Source organism: Homo sapiens, chromosome 18 (assembly GCF_000001405.40).
Source record: "Homo sapiens chromosome 18, GRCh38.p14 Primary Assembly".
Classification (NCBI taxonomy): Eukaryota; Metazoa; Chordata; class Mammalia; order Primates; family Hominidae; genus Homo; species Homo sapiens.
Genome location: NC_000018.10, coordinates 44,933,220 through 44,956,141, shown reverse-complemented (window position 1 = coordinate 44,956,141; position 22,922 = coordinate 44,933,220). Strand labels below are relative to the sequence as shown.

General features: G+C 43.9%; 1 protein-coding gene across 18 annotated transcripts in view, besides 1 other annotated feature; it reads right to left on the bottom strand.

The window, feature by feature from the left end:
• Positions 1-22,922, bottom strand: part of SETBP1 (SET binding protein 1) — a 388,438-nt gene that overhangs the window by 112,369 nt on the left and 253,147 nt on the right. For all 18 annotated transcript variants that reach the window (XM_024451149.2, XM_024451156.2, NM_001379141.1 and 15 more), the window contains one exon: positions 2,802-6,261. In XM_024451149.2, the coding sequence (XP_024306917.1) occupies positions 2,802-6,261 (3,460 nt within the window). The remainder of the gene's footprint in view (positions 1-2,801; positions 6,262-22,922) is intronic.
• Positions 12,197-12,806: an enhancer, noted in NCBI's record as "OCT4-NANOG hESC enhancer chr18:42523301-42523910 (GRCh37/hg19 assembly coordinates)". NCBI's record gives its function as "activates a minimal SCP1, AML or CMV promoter by ChIP-STARR-seq in naive H9 embryonic stem cells {active_cell/tissue: H9 hESC(naive)}" and the evidence as "EXISTENCE:reporter gene assay evidence [ECO:0000049][PMID:30033119]".

Genomic DNA, 22,922 nt, shown 5'->3' with positions numbered 1-22,922 from the left:
GAACATCAGGCATAGCTCATATAGATGTAGCAGCCACCAACAATTATGATTCATTAAAGTTCTGGGAAAAAATAACCTCATAGAGGACAGAGATAGAAACAAAGCAGTGGCAAAAATAACTCAGAGTGCTGGATTTCAGTAAGGACAGAGGTGGAAGCTCTGTCCATGGTGTCTCCAGGCTGATATTCAGAAAAGGTAAGGCCACAAGGATTCCTTCTACATTGGTCAGGAATTGAATAAACGAGTGTCTTCTTTCCTTAACTATTCTCTTTTGTAATCATCACACAATCACTGTGCAGATGCCTTAGGGAAGGGTATGTGATCTGAGGATGAATGGGATTCTGAAAGAAAGGGCAGAGGTGACATAGAGGAGCACTGGACTGGGCACCAAGAGCTGTGTTCTAAACACAGCTTTCACTAGCTTGGTGGCAGGCAGGCAGTCAAGGTTCAGTGCAGCAGGCAAAGTTCTGGGCTTAGAATCAAAACCAGTGGTTTTTTGAACCTGGACAGTTCTCTTGATCTCTTTGAGCCTCAGTATCCTGATCTGTAATATAGGAATAAAAGTACCTGTCTAATAACATTGCACAAAGGGTGTTACACAAAAATTTATGTGAAATGGCTTTAAGAATGGAAGCACACTATACACAAGAGGTCTGGCCCAACCCCATGAGTTACAGATGGGCAGACAGTACCCCAAAGAAGTGGAATCCCATGCCTAAGGGCACACGGAGAATTAGTAACAGAGTTGGGCCTTGTATCCAGTTCTTCGGGTTGAATCCAGCTTTCTTTCATGACATTGTCATGACACCTATTTCTTCCCATCTCAAGTGGCTGGCTGAAGATGAGATGAGATGGGACAGGGATGAGGAGGAGTTTTAATAAAGTGATGAATGCGATATAAATGCAAGCACATGAAAAGCAATATAACTAGAGTGGGGGCACACAGTGACTGGACGTGAACCCCAGCTGGGAAATTTTATGAAGTCAACCAGCACTCAGCAACACAGCCTGGCCACAGACAAATCCTCGTAAAATCGTTGAGAAACCTAACATGCAACAACGTCTGGTTTTAGCTTCTTGAGGTCTTGCTCCTTGGGTCTGTTAAGTTAGGATTTTTGCGTGTAGGTTCTTAACAATTACCCCTCACCATTATTTTCTAGCTAAATAAGGCTCATAAAATTACAAAAATAAGAACATCTTCTGTCCACAGCTAGTGTAAGTCCCATGAATCAGTTTCATCATGCTGAAAGAGATCAGTTTCTCACATGTCATGCAAGGTCAAGGTAGTACCTCCTGCCCAGGTGGGCTTAGCCTGCACTCTGCATAAAACCAAGCACCTTCAACAAAGTCTGATGATGAGAAATGATGAAGCCCAGATGAGCACATCCACTTTGGGCAGACACAAAGTGTAGGTCATTTATTACCTTTAGTAAATGCAGGAGATGTGACTGCTAATTGGTTTCTTCATTAACCAAGGAGAACATCTACCACTACAACTCACAGGCTAGTGGCAATCTGGGGCGATCTTTAAGTGGTTTCTACCTCATAATCATATTTCTTCCTGAAATCTGCTGGCCTAGAAAATGTCTCTAATTCTTCATGAATAGACTATTCTTGCCTTCAGGAAATATGGGCTCCCTGGGAAGGGAGAGGACAGGTGAGTGGTACACATCATAAACAGAAGTGAAATGCTACACCAAACCTTAAACATGGATGATTGGTTTTTAAAGCCAGGCTTTGGCTGGAGGGTTTTATACTATTTGGGAACAGGGGGAACACAAGAACTGTTTTTTTTTTTTTTTTTTTTTTTTTAGCTTCTGCAACTCCTAGGTAAGAAGTTTCTACTATTTTCCTAATAACTAACTTCTCTGGTCTTTATAGGGGTCTTATCATATATGATGTAAGGCCAGGGTCAAAGGGATACTTTTGCAGAAATGTGAGGCCCTAACAGCAGGGAAGGATTTTGTGTGGTTGGGGAGGTTGGCAAGGGAATTCTGCCAGCAACTGACAAGGAATAGGATCCTTCTAGTAGCAACCAGCATTTCAGTTTAAATTAGTGAGCAAAATCCCTTTCTAGTGGGCATGCAAAGAGACACAGTTATAAGGTCTGCTGGAAGCAGGAGGCACATATCACCTTCCAGCCTGCCTCCTTCCACTTAGTGCACGAAAATGACAAGTATCTGAATGTAGTCAAGTTTTCATTTTAGGGACCTGCCCAGGACAGCTTATCAAATGCCCATGGAAAAAAAATGGAAACAATATGGCCCAAGGCTGTGGCTACCTGATGAGTTAGACTTCAGGATTCACTGGTCATCAGCTTCTAATGGCTCTGCAGTAGACTTCTCACATTAGATGTGTGACTTGTGGAGCTGGCATGCCAGATAAATTAGCTAGTCATTTCCTCCCAGGCTTGGCATTCTTGGATCTTATTAGTATTCCTAATGAGTTTTAGAGGCTGTATCCAAACAGCAAACTGTACCATTAGATCAGATGAGGACCTAAGAACAGCATCTTTAATAAAAAGCATAACCATAGTGGGCACGACTGCAGCCTAGGCAGCTATTAGGGTTATGGCTTCACAGTTTCTCAAACAATGGCTCCAGGAGAGAAGGAAGATAGTAAATACCAAGTAAACAATGTACAAAATGTGCAGCAAACTCAAATGTGCAAGGAGACCCATTTTAATTTGATTCCCACCTCTTTGCAAACTAGTGAACACAATGTGCCACAGATGTGTCTGAGGTGCAAAGCCCAGCAATGAAATAACTTGATAATCCATTTCTGAAGAAAAACAGCCTTACCTGGAGACATGGAGGAGTCATAAGAACTTCTCTCCTTGCGGTTCATCTTGAAGGCTTGGATGTCCTTTTCCCTGTACGTTCCAAAGCCTTCATAGCTCCTCCTTTTACTCCCACTCACGTCACTGTCCCACTTGTCATTCGAAGGGTTCATTTCACTGAACACGTCCAGGTTCTCTGATCTCGTGCTGCCACCATCCCCGCCACTGCCAGAGTATCTTTTCGTGCATGAGTCCACAGGCTCACTGCTCAAGTCTCCTTTTTCCTTGGCCTGTGTCCAATGCTGGGCGTCGGAAAGTGACAGTGTAGACAGGGTGTCCACCTCAAAGTTGTTCTTAGAAGCTTTGTGGCCGGCTTCGCTGTGCTGGTGCTTCTGTTTCTCCTTATGCTTGTTCTTCTCACTCACCAGCGGGAGCTCTTTGTCTGCGCTACTCAGCCGCTCGCTCAGGATGTGGCTGGAGAAGCCTGTGGCTTTGCCTGCAAAAAGACCACTCAGGTTGTCATGGGTCCCTAGGATCCGGTCTTCCTTGTGCTTATGCTTGTGTTTGTGTTTCCTCTTATGGAGCCGACCACTGGACAGACTGGCACTGCCTACCTTGGGAGGGTTCAGAGAAGGCTGCATGTCACCAAGGCCCATGCTAACAGGTCCCTGCAGGTGTACTCCATGCTTGGCTTTATGCTTAGCTGCACCGGACATCTTTACGTGGGAGTTTGTGTGGAACTGAGGTGGTGGCACTGTTGGCCTCATGAATGGGGAAGCTGCTCCAAGCGTGTGCGATAGGTACAAAGGAGCTGGGTACTGACCGTAATAACCAAGGTTCATCATAGGCATTGATGTGTAAGGCATTCCATAGGGTGCATAGTAACTTCCACTGGGAATAGGGTAGCTGAACCCTTGTAAAAAAGGCACCTTTGTCATGGTGTCATTGGTTTTTGCAGGCCTACCACGCTTCTTCTTTGACTTCAAGTCTGAAGTCCTACGAAGATAGAGCAACGGGTCATACTGGATATATGGCACCGGGTAATAGTGATCAAAATTAATCCGAAAAATGCTGGGATATGGATTCTCGTGGTAGAAGGTGTAACTCCGGTGGGAGATTCTGAACACTTGGAACTTGGTGATTAGCTCCTCCAGGTCTGCCAGAAACTGGAGGTCATCGCGGTTTTGCAGGCTTTTCCGTTTCCTCTTGTGCTTTGGCTTCTTGAGGCTTTCGTGGGCCAGAAAGTTGTCCACAATGAGATGCTTTTGCCGGTGGCCATGCCGGTTCTTTGTGCTGGTGTCGGACGGAATGGCCTCCGGGTTGTCCAGGGAGCAGAAATCAAAAGAGTACCTCCTTCGGGATTCTGAGCTCTTCTCCGCTTGGTCAGAAGTGCTGTTGTTGTCTGTCCCAATGCCGCTGTCGCTGGGGATCGTCTCCTCACTGTGGGACTCGCTCACAGGGGACAGCGTGATTTCCTTTAGGGAGCCAATCTCGCACAGGTGTGAAGGGGAGTTGGCCATCAGTCTGGGTGGAGACAGCTTCCAGGTTCCACTGTGTATTCCCTTTTGGGTTTTGGTTGGAAGAGCACTGATGGGCTGGAGATTTGGCATAGTTTTCAACTCTGAAAAATTGGTTTCAGTGCTGGCAGGGCTCAGGTTGCCATTGGACCCACCTAACTGTGTTGAAAGTGGGTGCATAGCTGCTGGTGAAGACGCCACAAGTGACTGAAAGTTGGAAGGCACGGCTGGAACATCCGGCTGGCTAGAAACAGGCCTGGGGTGCTTGATGGCTGTTTTGGGTTCTTCGGATGGGGGTGGCAGCTCTGCTCTTGGCTTCCTGCCCCGCTTCTTGCCAATGTAGATGGTTCCCCTCTTGCTGACATTAATCTGCTTGCCCAGTTTGCTTTCAATGGCTGCTGCCCCAGGGCTGGTCTCTGGGGGAGCTTTTGCCTTCAGAGCAACGCTGCTGGAACAGGACAAGATCTGATTCAAGATGTTTTTCCTCTTGAGTGTCTTCATCTTATTGATAGTTTTGATGGTCTTCTTATCCAACACGCCGAGCTTTCCAACTTTCTTGTGAAATTTCATCTCGCTCATGGGTTTGTCCTCTCCCGGCACTAGCTGGGCCAACTTCGCTAAATTGCGTCGTCGCTTTCTTTTCTTAGTGCCAGGAAACTCTCGGCTGATGGGACTGACGGGGCTGGTGGAAGTTCCCTCATGAATCGTCTCGACTGTGAGCAAAGGCTGCTTCTTTGGTCGTCCCCGCTTCTTTTTGACTGGAGTGATCACAGTAAGACTGTCTGTGTTGGTGTAGAGAGGGCTGGATGGGGTGATGGGATATGCAGACGGGGGCTCCAGCATCAGTTTATCAGAGGTGGCCATAACTGCCTCTCGAAGCATGGTGCTAGGTTTTGGTTTGCTGCAAGTCCACCTTCGTTTTGCAGCAAATTTTGGATGCTGGATTTCTGGCAGCTTTCTGGATGGAGAGTGATCTGTGCACGTTGGAGGTGTCATGACCATGGGTGGCTTCCGCGGCTTAGACACACCTCCTGGGATAACTTTCTCAGCATTTCCACCAGTTTCAAGGCCAACTGAGGGGGACTCATTCTCTATCATTTTACTCAACTTAGGGACACGGGGATCCTTCTTATTCCCCTCAGAGTTGGAAAGTATCCTGTTAACTACTTCACTGCTCATGGTGATTCCAGAAGCCAAGGCTTTCTCTGGCATGATCTTTTCCACCACCGCTTTAATGGACTGTCTTTTTTTCCTCTTATGGTTGGTTGGATCCAGAGAGGGTGCCTTGATGGGGATAGTAATCCGGACATGACTTGAGTCATTTTCAGGATTACTGGCAGAACTCACGTTCTGCCTGGCTGGTGATGCCTCTTGGGCACTATCTGCGGAATAACCTTCCCTTTTCCCTTCTGTATTGTCAAATGCTTTCTGGGCATTCTTGACCCAATCCAGGTCTGGGTTTGGTATGGTCTGACTTATCACATCTTTTTTACTGGACTTTTTCTTGCTGCCCACCGTAGGTGGTTCTGGGGGCTCCTTTGTACCTCCTCCATCTTGATCCACCAAGGGCTGAAGCCCGTTGCACTCAGCAGAGCTGCTGGGTGGGGCTGGTGAGCTGTGGCTGCTTGGGGATGGAGCCACACCTCCCAAGAGCAGATCTTTGTTATTGTTAGACAACTGACTCCACGTGTTCCCTGCACTGCCTTTCTTACCCTGGGCCTTTGCAAAGGAAGCCACGGGCTCAAGAGCGGGGATCTTGCTGGTGCTTGCAGTTTCTCTGCCAGACTCTGGACTGATGAAGCAATTCTGAGTGACGGGTCCGCTGTCAGAGTTGGTGGACCAGTCCATGTGGTTCTGGCTGCTGCTTTTTTGCTGGTGCTTTGGTTTTAAGGTGTCACCGGTGAAGTCCTGTGGGAGGCCCGTGTCATAATGGAGAGTTGAATGTTTCTGGGGCCTCTCGTAAGCCTAAGGGTGGGTGGAGTGGAGAGGGAGAGAGACAGAGAGAGAGAAACAAAGATGAGCATGTTGAAGCTACTTAATATTTGACATCAAAAGTCTCAATGATCTGAAAGTTGGAAATGAATACCGAAATGAACAGCCACCTTTAATTTTAGAATGTCTTACAGAGGTTTTCTCAATTGCAGTAGTAAAGATGTATTGCACTGGTTTTGAACATCAGTAAGCACATTTTAATTGTTGTCTTTTATCCCTAAATAACAGGAATCTTGACCTACCTTGATTTAATGCAATCTTTAGAGACAGGAGGGAGGGGACACAAAGGTCACTTAGCCCAGTGCCTTTTTACATTTTTACATGCTATTTTACAAGTGAAGAAGCTGAGACCTGAACAATGGAGAGTCCTGCCAAAGATGGCAAATCCCAGGAGAGAATCTGAAATTCCCGACTCCCAGTGTTCTTTCACCTAACTCGAACAGTCTCTTATTTCTGTCCCTGCTTCTCTTCGAATGTATGTCTTTCCTCGCTTCCTCCTGTTCCAGTTCATTTCAGCTTGTACTTTGTCTTAGAGCTCAACATCTCTGTACAAGTAGCTCATCAGGAACCACTGTAACCAGTAAAAACAGCCCAGGTTGAGGAATTAAGGAGAGAAGTATGAAGCCTGCATGGGAAAAAGTGGGCCAATCGAGGGCACGGAGAAGAAATGGAAGAAAAGAAACACACAAGAATTGTCCTAAGCCTTCAAATCCTTGTGGACTCTAGGAATGTTGCTCTGTTTGGGGGTTAGCATGCAAAGAAATCCTTAAACTTCGTATTACGTACTTATTGCTTTCTTGAGGAAACTCTTGGATAGTCTCAAAAGCAACCTTGAGTCTACTAGACAAATGTGTCAGGAAAAAAAAATAGTTGTCATTCAAGATCACTCCTCCAAACTTTGTCAACTGTGTTTCCCCTACATTGATTCTAAAGGAATGTCTCCAGAATCTTTCTCAGGACTGACTCTCTCCAGCTAAAATAAAAAGCTGAACATGTTGCTGGAGGCACAACATAATCAGTGTCTACAAAACCACAATGAGAATGGATAGTGAACACATCGTTTGGAGATATTAAAGCTACTTTTAATAAAAATATGCTTTCACTGTTCCAGATGAATTTTAAGCCATGATACTAGTTCAAAGTAGTATTCCTTAAGGTTTATTATAAGCCCAATTTATACATAAAGTAGTAAACTTACAGGATGCATTAGCCTAAGAACTGTTAAACAGAGAAAATATTAGTAAATTAAAGAACCACTCCAGGAAGTATATGATGACTGGCTTCATGAATTTAGAAAATTTTAGCTGGTAATATCTATCTATCATCTATCTATCTATCTATCTATCTATCTATCATCTATCTTTGTATATCTCATTTTATCTCTATTTTTCATTGAAGCTATAGAACTTATGCTTTATAGGAAAACATGTCTTACAGCCCCTGTTAAGAGTCAAAACACAGATGGCATAAAGCATTACAGGGACAATTCAATGCAGTCATGAAACCAGGATTTCCTTCACACTAGTTTCTGGAATCCCTAGGGTTATTTCCTGCCTCTCTGATTTTGTGAAATCCTGTTTATACTTACAATATTTTGTAAGCATCATGAGATAGTTTCCTCAAGTGAAGCCTGCAAATACCCAGGAGAAAATTAAGAAAACAATTTAATTTTTTAATTCATCTTGCAACTTATAGTAGAAACACCACCATCAACAACATATAGAGAATTAATCCGACCACTTGAGGGTGTTTACTGGCATTACTGCTGTGGACATAGGCTGCTATTCCATTTTCAGCAAAAACATAGAAATCTTATTCGTGGCATAAAATATTAAGTGCCACTTACTTATCTTTTATGAATCAGGGCATTGCTAGTTTCTATTTATGCTTTGGAAATTAGCTGGCACTCTGTGTTTACTAACAGGATCACAGGTCTAGAGGAGCTCTTGGAGGCTAAGTTCTCTGCTCCTTAGGGTATCAGTGTATGATTACTCATACTGGAGCACCTTGAAGGTTAGTGGGGGTGATTATTAAAAATAACAGTGGGATGGCTGGGTGTAGTGGCTCACGCCTGTAGTTCCAGTACTTGGGAGGCCGAGGCGGGCAGATCACCTGAGGTCGGGCGTTCAAGACCAGCCTGACCAACATGGAGAAACCTCATCCCTACTAAAAATACAAAATTAGCCAGGCTTGGTGGTGCATGCCTGTAATCCCAGCTACTTGGGAGGCTGAGGCAGGAGAATCACTTGAACCCGGGAAGTAGAGGTTGTGGTGAGCCGAGATCGTGCCCTTGCACTCAAGCCTGGGCACCTGGGCAATAAGAGTGAAACTCCGTCTCAAAAAAAAAAAAAAAAAAAAAAAGTGGGACAAACGGTGTGATTCTTTTGGACCTGGGTAAAACAGGACTTGCAGTGGCCTTCTTTTTTTCCCACCTCTACCACCATCACTTTTCTAGTTCTGGGCACCAAAGTCCACAGAGAGGCTCCATGGTGACGCTAGGCCAGGATCTTGGGCCCTAACTCCTACCGTTTTTTTCTCTGCTGTTCCATTATCTTACTCTTGGTACCTAACAGAGTCCCTAATTAATGTTTTTTTCGTGTTCTGGCTTCAGCTCAATCCCAGGGAGACACCCCTACCTTATAGAAATACCCCCATTATAAGTTTTCATGAAACCATGTAACTTATCTTTGTTGCACATACCATAGTTTTAGTTTTACATTTGATTTGTGTGCTAACTGAATTAAATGCCTGTCTCCCCTTCTTGCTTGTATACACCATCACAGAAGTACTAGGCAGAGCACCTGGCACACAGTAGGCACTCAATAAACATCCACTGAATGAATGAAGAAGCATACATTTTACGACAGGTATTTCATTTTGTCAATAGTGAGATCAATGATCTATGTATTGCAACATGTCTGCAAACACGGTCACTGCCTTCAGCCTAATTTCTTATTCTCTGTATACCTCCTGTATTTGCCACTGCCTCCCATAAAGACATCTATCACAGTCTTTATACTGCTAGGTGGCATTTATTTGTGTACTTTTCTGTCTCCTTTTCCTAGACTATAAGTACTTTGAGGTCAGAGACTTATCATCTTATCCCTAAGGCCTACTACAAAGCCAAGCACCCAGAAAGCTCTCGATAAGTGCTTGTTAAATAAATAAATGGATGAGGTGCCTATTACCATGGCAAAATATACAGCTGCACACAAAAGACAATACACTACTAATCTGTCATTTGATGATGGCTCCTAATGAAACTGGAACACTGAAATGCCTTACGTGCTAAACAAGAAATCCTTCCCAAATACTTAGAGATGAAAGGAGCTTATAAGGTAACTCCCCTTCAATGCAATTTTTACTGTTAGTTCTCCCCATCTCCTAATTGTTTCACTTTTCAATTAACTCTGCCTTTGGAGAAGGCCATGAGACTGTCAGAAGGGTGGATTTCACCCTAGCAGTTGAAAGGTGGGGCCTGCTCACTTACGCCCAGGGCAGACCAGCTGAGAGTAATACAGTTAAGCATGCCCAGTCCCTAGTGCTTCTCTGGACCACTGCCTGATCCCATTGTTCCTACCATTTCAGCTGCAGTCTGCCCTGCTGGGACTGCTCAGCAATCAAAGTGCAGGGTGGACAAAAGGGAAGCACAACAAAGGATCAGGAGTAATGGGGGGAATGGTGCTTTAAGATCTTCACTCAGCTGGGCTGCAGAGAAGGGGCAGGGAGGACCCAGAAGGAGTGCTTTCTAAGAGGTCCAGAGAACAAGGCCTCCTCCAGCCTTGGCTGATAGCTATATCCCATTACAATGCGCTTCATCTGTCAGCCATGACATATTATATTCACAATAGTGAGGCTGTCATTTCCAATATGTCCTTTGCTGAGAACTGAGCACTTACTCCATCCAGACAGAGATGGATAAGGCAAGCCGCAAGACAGGCGAAGCACACATCACAGCCTCTGCCTCCCATCCTAGTGGTCTGGGGAGATGATATCTTATCGGGCTCCCTGACTCAGGTCTTTATTAACCTATGCACCACATCTCCTTTTTCTCTTTAGATTGAGAGTTTTGGGGTTTGTTTTTGTCTTTTTGATAAGGTCTGAGTCTTTTTAAGCCTTTATACCACCCTCAGCCCTCAGCAGAACTATCTCCTAAAACAGCTAACATGTGAGGGAACAGTCAATGACATTCCATATTGGGCACACAGTTCTGGTGGAAAACTTTCGATACCAAACTTAGCTTAGCACGCTTCATGGCTGCCTGGCTGCCTCCCACCTCTCTCCCCATTCCCAAGAGTTGATTGTTTGTGAAATTCATGGCAGTTTAAAAGGTGTGGCTCACTTTTATAAGAAAAATGTTTTCCATGTACATTGAGCCTAGGTCGAATGCTTCAGTGAAACTCTGAAAACACTAGGCAGATTTGTGCTTACAGTATTTCTTCATGGAAGCAAGTTCTTCTGTAATGTAAAGAATTCTTTTGTAAAGTAGATAGCTATTCTCTCCCCTATAAGTTAACTAAATAATATACATTTAAAGTGTGTGCCCACTTTTTGATGGGGTTGTTTTTTTCTTGTAAATTTGTTTGAGTTCTTTGTAGATTCTGGGTATTAGCCCTTTGTCAGTTGAGTAGATTGCAAAAATTTTCTCCCATTCTGTAGGTTGCCTGTTCACTCTGATGGTAGTTTCTTTTGGTGGTGGGCGGGGAGCGGAGGGATAGCATTAGGAGATATACCTAATGTAAATGACGAGTTAATGGGTGCAGCACACCAACATGGCACATGTATACATATGTAACAAACCTGCATGTTGTGCACCTGTATCCTAGAACTTAAAAGTATAAAAAAAATATAAAAAAATAAAGTGTGTGTAAGTCAGGTTTCTTTTTAAAAAGCACTTTTTAGTTTATTTTTCAAAACAAAATTAGATCACTGAGTAAAATCTTAAAAGTCCAAAAAATGGGAAGCAAATGAGTGACCTAGCCTTATCTCAGGCTTACCTAAAGCAAAGTTTATTGCAAGGAGATGAGAAGATGGTGATTTGAATCTAAGAAAAAATCACATAACTCATTAAAAAAAAAGAAGCCTGACTTTGTGGAAGATAAACTACTCTTTTGGGTTAGCTATGTCTGTGCTACTTTCTGCTGACATCAATAATTTAAATTTACTGTTTGTAAGATATTTGGGATTACATGAGCAGGAAAATATGCCTGGGTATGGAGCAATGAGGGAGGCCTCATCTCTTAATTTGGAACATGGCACTTCTCAAGATGTGGTCCTAGATTACCGTATCAGAATCACTGAAGGTGCTAGTTACAAATACAGATACTGGGGCCCACTGTAGACCTACAAACTCACAATCTCTCAGGGAGAGAATGAGGCATATGCATTTTAACATGCTCCTCAGGAGAACTCTGATGGACAACCAAGTTTTAAAACCACTAATCTAATGTTTTAACACCACATTTCTTCTCTGGAGTAGGGCCCTTCTGTGGTTGCTATAACATTCACAGCAATTTTTGGTGATAAACATGCAGAACCAACCACCATAGGCCTGTTAGGATATACAAGTTAGCAACACCGAGCATTCCTGTTTTGCTCTCTGAACTCTCCGTAATTTACATAGTATGAAACTCTAACATAATTCCCTGTGTAGGTATTCCAAGTGAAGGTGAGGTGGACTGAAGAATCAATGATTTGAGTGGATAAGAAAGGACCAGACAGGCCAGGCGCAGTGGCTCATGTGTGTAATCCCAGCACTTTGGGAGGCTGAGATGAGTGGATCACTTGAGGTCAGAAATTCAAGACCAGCCCAGACAACAAGACAAAATCCTGTCTCTACAAAAATACAAAAATTAGATGGGTATCATGGCGTGCACCTGTAATCCCAGCTACTCGGGAGGCTGAGGCAGTAGAATCACTTGAACCCAGGAAGTGGAGGTTGCCATGAGCTGAGATCGTACCACTGTACTGCAGCCTGGGCAACAGAGAGAGACTCTGTCTCAAAAAAAAAAAAGAAAAAAAAAGAAAAAAGAAAGGACCAGGAATGCTGGTGTTCATGACCTCCCACTGTGGGATTCCAAACCCCTGGGGAATCCTGGCAGGCCATCACTGAAGCTAGAAGCAAGTGCTCAGACCTCAGCAGGAGCTGAGTGTGGGAGACAAAGAATGCAACCACAAGCTGTGTGACTAGATTAAAGGTTCCCAACTCTGGCTGTATGTTAGCATCAGCTAGGAAGTTTTGTAAAGATCAACATACCTGAGATCTGACCCAGCGTGATTAAATCAACATTCTGGACGTGGAACCTGAACAGTAGTACTTTTTCAAAGCTCTCAGGTGATCCCAATGAGCAGACAGAGTTGAGAACCACTGGATTATATCAAAGACAGGGTCTGGGTTAAGGACTAGAGAGGCTCTGATATTATCAAGAGATGTTCCAGCTCAGTGGCTTTCAAATGTGTTTCACAAAGTCCTAGGATTTTGCAAAGACATTTCTGAACTGTAGCCAGTGAATGGGGCAAGAAAAATGTTTCAGACCTTCCTTTTAACCCCTAAACCCCCAACAGAACAGACCAGCCTAACAAGGGATTTCATTTGAGAGACAGAGATAGAGAGAGTGAAACGGTTCTGTCATTTAATTTAAAACAAAACTGAAAAATTACCATTTATGCTCATGAACAGGAGGAATGCACATTCCATCTTTTGCTGAAATTGTCCCAAAGCTTATCTCTCCTTAGCCCAGTTCATTCCTGCATTTGCTACTGGTAGTTGTGAGAAGAATGTCACTACGTATCTTTTTAGTACCATGATCTTATGATTCTTTGATTCCAATGGACACAGAGAAGCTATCCAGCCTCTAAACGAATATGAAGTTTCCAATTAAATATGTAAACTGAACCCATCCTCATATTCTGTCACCCTGGGAATTCACCTGGATGTTATTCCCATAAAATTCATTCTTATTTGCTATTTAGGGGCCGTGGATGATACTAGAGCACTTCTTTTACTGAAGGTGGTAACAGCTCATACACGACAGAGGGCCCTACCATATACCTCTTTGAGTAGTAAATAATTCTGCATAACTCAAAATAATCACTGACTTGATTTCAGCCATGATAGAGTAATAGGTAGTAGACGTAACCTTTCCATGGAGATAAATATAAAACTAACTAAACAAAATATATGAAATAATTGTTTTCAGGCACTAGACAATAGACAACACAGGCTGAGATTCTAGAGAAGGGAAACTCACGAGGTTCCAGAGTAGCCCTAGTTTTCTGCCTGGGGGTACTTTCTAAATCTGGGCATAGGGAAGAAAAGCCCAGATAGCTGTGACTTCACTGGGAAGACAAAACCAAGATCAGAGTTTGGGGCTCCTGAGGGAAATGGAATTTGCAGGTTAGGATACCTGAGAAAGGGGAGCTATGTAGAAAGGAACTCTAGAAACCTTCATAGGGATTATCTTAAGTATCTGGAAAAATTTTAGTCTTCACTTGAAGGTAAGATTTCACAAAGCCTAGCAGAGATTAGCTACTGGGGGCTATCAGCTAAACATAGAGTCCTTAGGTCATATAGTATTGGGCAAGGTTGGATTTCTCACCAGACAGAGTGGGGAGGCTTCAATGAATATCCCAGGCATTCAGCTGAGATCTCAGAAATGGTACTCCTTAAGAGCAGAATTATTCCAGCTCTAGAATAAAAGCTACTCGAGTCCCTCACTAACAAATTCTGAAAAGAACTCTCGATAGCATAAAGCTGATCTGCCAATAAATTAACTGCTTATCAGAACAAAAGTCAAAACTCTTTAAAGAAAAACAACAAAATCAGTTTATATAGCATCCACAATATCCAGAACACAATAAAAAGCTTACTAGACAGGCAAAGAAGCAGGCAAATGGGACCCACAATCAGGAGGGTAAAATCCAATCCAAGGCTCTCCAAACAGCTACTATGAAAATGTGCAAGTATTTAAAAGAAAAGATACACATAATTGATGAACATATGGGAAGTCTCAGGATCGCAACGACTACACTAAAATAATAAAATGAAAATTCTAAATCTGAAAAATACAATATCTCAAACAAAAAAAAAAACTCACTGGAGTTGCTTAACAGATTCTAGGACATTGCAAAAGAGAAGTTGAGTAAACATGAAGAGAAAGCAGTAGAAACTATCCAAACTGAAATACAGAAGGGAAAATAATAACAAGAATTAATTATAATAATGGAAAAACAGTACCTCACTGATCTATGGAGCAATATCAAGAGGTCTAACAGACTGATAATGAGAATACCAAAAGATTAGTGTATACATATTCTCATAGCTAAGAAGCTCAACGAATCCCAAGCAGAATAAAAACACCCATGAAAACCACATCTAAGCACACTGTAGACAAATTGATCAAAACCAAAAATAAAGAGAAAAAATTCAAAAGCCATCAGAGAAGAAAGAGATTATTTATAGGGGTGCAAAAATAATGTCTGGTCACACCTGTAATCCCAGCACTTTGGGAAGCCAAGGGATGGATCACTTGAGGTGGTCAGGAGTTCAAGACCAGCCTGGCCCAACATGGTAAAACCCCGTGTCTACTAAAAATACAAAAAAAATTTAGCAGGGTGTTGTGGTGCATGCCTGTAATCCCAGCTACTTTGGAGGGTGAGGCACAAGAATTGCTTGAAACCAGGAAGTGGAGGTTGCAGTGAGGTGAGATGGCGCCACTGCACTCCAGCCTGGCAACAAAGTATGACTCCATCTCAAAAAAAAAAAAAAAAAAAAAAAGTCTGACTTCTCATTAATTAGAATATAAACAAGAAGACAATGAGCCAACATCTTTAAAGTACTGAAATGAAAACAAAACAGTCAAATTTATATATCCAGCGAAAATATTCTTTAAAAATGATGACAAAATAAAGATATTCAGATAAATAAAAACCGAGGGAATTCATTTCTCGCAGACCTGAATTACAAGATATGTAAAAGAAAGTTCTTTAGGCCAAAAGGAAATGACACCAGATGGAAACTGAGATCTACATGAATGAATGAAAAGTGCTGAAAATAGTAAATATATTGGTGTATACAAAATATTCTATTCTTGTTAAGATTGTTAAAAGACAAGTGACTTCTTAAAGCAGAAATAAGATTTTAGGATTTATGACATTTGTAGAAATAAACTCCACCACAACAATAAAACAAAGAATAAGAGCGTACATATAGAGGTATACATTCGTAATCTTCTTATATGTGAAGGGATGTAATATTAGTTCAAAGTAGACTGTAATATTTTAAGGGTACGCATTGTAATCTCTACAGCAATCAGTATTAAAAAAAGTTGCATATCTAAAATGTCAATACAAGGAAACATATGGATTACAAAAAAATGCTTGATGACTCTAAAAGAGAGCAGAAAAAAAGAATGAAAATGGGAAAAACAGAAAATACAAGCAACATAGTAAACTTAAACCCAACAGTATCAGTAATTATATTAACTCTAGAGATACCAAAAATAATATACTGCAAGAAAATAAAAGGCATCTTATCAGAGTGAATAAAAAAGAAAAACTGAACTATATGCTGCTTATAGGAGATACACTTTAAATACAAAGACAGCTTAAAAGTAAAAGGAGGGAACAAGACATACCACACAAACACTAAACATAAGAATGCTGTAATGATTTTATTAATGTAAGGAAAAATAGGCTTCCGAGTAAAAAGCATTCCCAGAGATAATTATGGACATTTCAAAATGATATAGAGTCAATTTACCAAGAAGAGACAATCATCCTAAATTTGTTTGTCCCTCACCATAGAACTTCAAAGATATAAAACAATAACTAAGAGATGATTCCACAATTAAAGGTATTTTAACACTCCTCTCTCAGTAATTGCCGAACAAATTTCCTAAAAAATCAGAAAAAACCCACCAGAGGTTTCATCTGTACTATCAACCAACTTACCCTCACCCAACAACTGCAAAATACGTTTGTCAAAATATGCTGTGCCGGTAACAAGCAGGAATGACCAGTGAACACATATCAATGTCTTCAAACATTATCTGCCATCAAAGAAATGTCAATTAAAACCACAATCAGATACCATTGCACATTCACTGGGATGGCTAAAATGAAAGAGACTGAAAATAACAAACGTTGACAAGGATCTGGAGCAACTGACACTATCATACGTTGTTGGAGGGAGCATAAAACAGTAAAAATCACTTTGGAAGATCTCTCAGCATGTCTTTTAAAGTTAATCCTGAGACCCAGCAATTCCACTCATATATTTACCCAAGAGAAAAGAAAACATACATCCACAATTAGACTTTTATAAAAACTTTATAGCAGCTTATTCAGAGTTGTTAGCACCTTGAAGCGGTTCAGGTGCCAATCAAAGGCAGAAAAGACAAACTCATCTATAAAAGGAACAAACCATGGACACACCCCACCACATGGATAAGCCACACACATACACATAATCATGCTGAGCCAAAGAAGCTAGACCCCAAGATCCACACTGTACCATTCTGTTTATATAAAGGTGTAGATCAGGCAAAACAAATCTATTATGATAGGTGTCAGAACAGTGGTTGCTTCCAGGGTAGAGTGTGGTGGGGACCGGGGCTGGGAAGGGCTGGCATGGGCATGAGGGAGTTTCCAGTGAGTTATGGATGTACTTTGTGTCTTGATAGGAGTGTGAGTCACACAGCTGTGTACATTTGTTGATACTCTTTGAACTTCATATTTAAGATCTGTACATTTCAGTATATGTACATTTAACCTCAATCATGTTAAAATAATCAAAAATGAGAAATCCATTCAAAAATGATGACTATGAACTCCCTATATCACACACACACACACAGGCACAGAGACACAGACACACACACACACACACACACACATGCACACACTCCAAAGCCAAGCAGCAGAAAGCAGGGGCCTTTTCTTTCCAGTGAAACATAGGGCGGCCCGCAAGCCACTCACTATTTCCCCTTCCCAGATCCTCACTCTCCCCTCTGTGCAGAGATAGCTGACTGAGTTGATCTCAAAACAATAGAGCCCGAATCAAGAAGACAGGTGCTGGTGGCTTCTGTAAACACCATTGTTCTCTCCTCTCCTCATCCTGGTGTTTTCCCTAACCTGGGCCACCAGGGAGAAAGGTGAAGCCCGTGTCTCCACCCCAGCCACAAATTCACCTTCCTCCGAGGTAAGGAAGGAAGCTTGACAAGAACCTGGCTCACAAATCAAAGTTAACACTGCCCCGCCTCCTCTGTAAATCATGTGAGATCCATCTGGGTAATGGCTCCTCCAGTGTAATTCCCTATTAAGAGGCTTTATCTGGAGAGATAAGCAGCTGGTTTCCGTGTCACTAATTGCTGTCTGCTGTGATTTTAAAACATCTGCACCATTGTGCTCTTCATTTTCATATTCTAATCACCCTGAAACTTGAAAAAGGTACATCATTGATTGTTTCTATGGGTTAATTAGTACACAGTCTCCTTGTAGAGACAATTTAGAGGCAGCCAGAACCTCAATCAGGAAGTTTGTTTTAAAAATTAATAACATCGGCAGTGGCTGGAGGGACTGTCACGTTCAGGGACGTCTCAGGACGCTCCTGGTGGGGGAGCCAGCCTTTGTTATCCTCCCCAGAGGAGGGAAGCCAACAGGGTTGTGGGGCCAGACAGCAGGGAGTGGTGGCACAGAGGAACGCAGGGACCCAGGACGTGGCTTGCTCCAGAGTGGTCCTGACCATGGTGTCTGCCCCCTCACCTCCCTCCCCTGCTCCCCCACTCCCTGCTTCCAATTAGTGGAGTCCCTTTCCCTGTCAGCACAGATCAGGACTTTGCTGAGGACGAAACAATATCTGGAGCTGAGAGGAATGTGTCGAAGTGATAAGAACATGAGAGATCATTTTATATTTTAAAGTCTGTTCATTGTTCTCTTCCCCCTCCACACTTCAACTATGGGACGGGGGAGAAAGAGAGGAAGATTGGAGTGTAGAGGAAAGAGCCAGACCAAACCGTGGAGTGAGAATTGGAACCCAGCACTGCTCATATTCAGAGCGCACAAGAGTCACCTGGGGAATCTGCCGAAACGCAGATTGATTTTGGAAGTCTGAGATGGGGCTGCAAGCGTGCATTTCTAATAAGCTCCCAGGTGGAGCTCAAGGACTAGCATCTGAGATGTGCCGGTCTTCTCCTAAGACCTTGACCAGACTCACTGTTCCTGGGCTCTAAGGAGTAGCTGAAAGGCTGCAGTGTGGTGGGGAGGCTCAGGTTCTGTGCCTGGGGTGGAATCTCAGCTCTACATACCATTCACTAGACACGTCACCTGACCTCTTACACCTGAGCTTCCTTGTCTAGAAACTAGCAGTAGTGCCTATCTTTTTTTTTTTTTTTTTTTTTTGAGACGGAGTCTCGCTCTGTCGCCCAGGCTGGAGTGCAGTGGCGGGATCTCGGCTCACTGCAAGCTCCGCCTCCCGGGTTCACGCCATTCTCCTGCCTCAGCCTCCCAAGTAGCTGGGACTACAGGCGCCCGCCACTACGCCCGGCTAATTTTTTTTTGTATTTTTAGTAGAGACGGGGTTTCACCGTTTTAGCCGGGATGGTCTCGATCTCCTAACCTCGTGATCCGCCCGCCTCGGCCTCCCAAAGTGCTGGGATTACAGGCGTGAGCCACCGCGCCCGGCCAGTAGTGCCTATCTTAAAGGGGGAGTTGAAAGCATTAGAAGTTGAAGACTGTCAAGTATTTAACACAGTGCTTGGCCCATAGTAGGCATTATATAAATATAGCTATTTTATTCCCATACTTTTCAGTGAACTGCTTTTCTGAAAACAACATCCAGCAGAAATAGGGTCTAGGGTGGAGACATTAACCAGGGAGTACCTCATTTAAACTCAGTTGGGCATTTCTAGCAATCATTCATTCTGGTCACCCTCTTGGCTGCTGTCTCTCACCACTTTCTGCTTTCAACCTAGCCTAATGTTCAGAGCTTGAGATCTTCCTGTACAGCTTCCCTCGGGGCTACCTGACAATATGCAGTCATAGAGAGCTCACTTGTGCACAGATTACCTTGTTCTACCTCTTAGATATCACTTTCCTGTTTAGAGATGGAGTCTATCTGCGTGTCCTTGGATGGCTCTGGCAAGCAGAGGAGACAGGCATCCCTTTCTGTGTTGGCTGGCATCCGAGGACCAGGTCACTGCAACTGAGAGCAAACGTGCCCCTAGAAGAGACTTCCCAGCACCCCCTCCTATGGCTGTTTTTAGCAGGCTTCCAGGGGCTTCCCCGTGGTCGAGACATGTGTACTGGTAGGGGAAAAAATTATAAAAACTGGATTTTCAATTATGTGACTTACAAATAAAAAAACAGCCTCTCAGCAGTAGAGCTGGAAGCCGACTTCAGAAAACTTACTGAAAGAGAGAGGTAAATTAGTGTGGAGCTGCAAGGTGACCACTTCAGAGACAGCCATGGGGCAGGCTTGGAGGGGCTAATTGGAATGCAGTGGCACTGCTGCATCCTTCCAGAAGGGACTTGGTGGCCTCCAGATTTCACTGTTCAAGTGCCGAGGACCCGCTGCCCCGGGATCCCACTACAGCACCACGGCTCTGTCTTTTCCAGCAGCAGCCTCTGCCCTCCCTGCTCAGGCATCTGAAGGTCTCCAGTGGGGTCCTGGGAGCCCTGGGCTGGGCTTCTGAGGGATGAAGCCAAAATTAGGGTGCAGTCCTGATTCAGATACATTCTGCAGTAGGAAGGCATTGAGGGACAACTGCAGGCTCATCCTGATGGAGAAGAATTACAGGGAGCAACATTTCAGTTTTAAAAATGTTTTAGCTATTCTTCACTGAGGCTTTGTTCTCCATGCTACTCCTCTCAAAAAAGAAAGAAACATAACACATTCTTGTCTCCTCTTTGAGAATTGGTATCTTACAATGAAGGGGCAAAATTAGTGTGGTGGAACATTCACGTGTGAATGTCCTATCAGTAAAAACCTGTAGCCCCTTGAAAGGCAGGGCATGCATGGCAAGGGATTTGAGAAGCCTGCCTCCTGGAGAAAGTTAAATGAATGAGGAGAGAGGATCATTAACCTGGCCAAAAGTCATTTCCCATGCTTGTTTATGGTTAAGAATCACCAGTGGCCTCTTCTAAATACACAGCTCACAAGGCTCCCCTTCTGCACATGTGGAGTCATTGTTCTGGGTTGGGGCCCAGGACTCTGGTGTTTTTAACAGGTACTTCTAGAGAGCCTCTTACTTCAGCCAAGTTTGGCCAACACTGTAATGCAAGGGTTTCTACATGGGAGAGCTGAAATGAAATTGTTCAGCTTTGTCTCAGGGTGGAGTGGGTGCAGGGAGACCAGTGAGAGACAGTCATGCAGGCAGAAGCAGGAGAGGGTTCCAAGATTATGCACCAAGATTATACCTAGCCTGTGGGTATTAGAGGAAAAAGAAAAAAATAGATAAGAAAGAGCAGAGGAAAAGAAGCATCCTTTTCCTCTTTACCGCATGTTTCCCTTTTTTCCTTTATATTAATGCTTTTTACTGCCAAACTGGTGTTTTTTGCCATTAGGGCTAAAATAACCGTTGATTATAAATCAAGTCTAAAATGTCAAGAAAATGCTGAATTCATCTAAAATTCCAGCTTTTAAGCTTCCCATGAACACTGTGAACTGCAAGCATTTGGTGCCTCACTCATTTAGTGTAAGTCCCCTCTGAAAGAAGTGACCTCACAGAGGCTGGTGGGCAGAGCCAGGATGACTGGCCTTGTGGGTGGAGTCTGAGCCTTGGATTCATTGCCGCTCCTCCCTGTAGTGCTGCAAGAACAAGTTCATGTCCTGATGGCTTCCCATCACAATGCCTCAGGTGCAGTGGTCATGTGGGTCCCCATGTCAACCCATGGCCACTGCCTTTGGAATCTCCTATATGTGCCCCTGAACTTTCTCTAGGATTCCTGCTGAAGATAGTGTGGCATGTGTCACTTGTGGACTGTCTTCCGTCTTTATTCTGAGAGGAAATGGGGCAGGAGTGTACAGCAGTTAGGAGCACAGACTCTTGAGCCAGCACAAATGGGGTCAAATCTGAGCTGAGTCCAAATATTACTAGCTGTGTGACCTTGGGCAAGTTGCTTTACCTCTCTGTGTCCCACTTTCCCTATCTGTAAAACAGGAAACATAATATAGTTACCCTTAAGATGAGGTCAACAAGTGAATCAAATAATCTATGTAAAGCACTTTGACCAGTGCCTGGTGCCTGGTCAGGGTTACACTAGAGTTTCCTACACAGTGGGAAATCTTGGGAGTGCATTGAAACTCTGGAATCAGAAAAACAAGTTCGAATCCCAGCTTTGCCTCTTACTACCTATGAGAACTGAGGCTCGTTACTTATCTTCTCTACTTCAAAAATGGAGAAAACAGGCTGGGCACAGTGGCTCACACCTGTAATCCCAGCACTTCGGGAGGCCGAGGAGGGCAGATCACTTGAGGTCAGGAGTTCAACACCAGCCTGGCCAACATGGCAAAACCCCGTCTCTATTAAAAATACAAAAATTAGCTGGGCATGCTGATGTGCACCTGTAATCTCAGCTACTTGGGAGGCTGAGGCAGGAGAATCGCTTGAACCTAGGAGGTGGAGGTTGCAGTGAGCTGAGATTGCACCACTGCACTCCACCCTGGGCAACAGAGCAAGACTCAGTCTAAAAAAAGAAAAAAAAAAAAAAGGGAAAACAACAGCACCTACCTGATGGGGTTGTGTTAAGAATTAAACAAGACAAGGTTGGTAAAAATGTTATCACAGGAGGTTCCAAGATGGCCGAATAGGAACAGCTCCATTCTATAGCTCCCAGCATGAGTGACGCAGAAGACGGGTGATTTCTGCATTTCCAACTGAGGTACCAGGTTCATCTCACTGGGGCTTGTCAGACAGTGGGTGCAGCCCATGGAGCAGGGCAGGGCATCGCCTCACCTGGGAGGCATAAGGGGTTGGGGAATTTCCTTTCCTAGCAAAGGGAAACCATGACAGACAGTACCTGGAAAATTGGGACACTCCCACCCTAATACTGCGCTTTTCCAATAGCCTTAGCAAATGGCACACCAGGAGATTATATCCCGTGCCTGGCTCGGAGGGTACCACACCCACGGAGCCTCACTCACTGCTAGCACAACAGTCTGAGATCAAACTGCAAGGCTGCAGCAAGGCTGGGGAGGGGCGTCTGCCATTGCTGAGGCTTGAGTAGGTAAACAAAGCATCCAGGAAGCTCGAACTGGGTGGAGCCCACGGAGCTCAAGGACGCCTGCCTGCCTCAGTAGACTCCACCTCTGAGGGCAGGGCATAGCTGAACAAAAAGCAGCAGAAACTTCTGCAGACTTAAACGTCCCTGTCTGACAGCTTTGAAGAGAGGAGTGGTTCTTCCAGCATGGAGTTTGAGATCTGAGAATGGACAGACCGCCTCCACAAGTGGGTCCCTGACCCCCGAGTAGCCTAACTGGGAGACACCTCCCAGTAGGGGCCGACTGACACCTCATACGGCTGGGTGCCCCTCTGAGATGAAGCTTCCAGAGGAAGGATCAGGCAGCAACATCTGCCGTTGTGCAATATTTGCTGTTCTGCAGCCTCCGCTGGTGATACCCAGGCAAACAGGGTCTG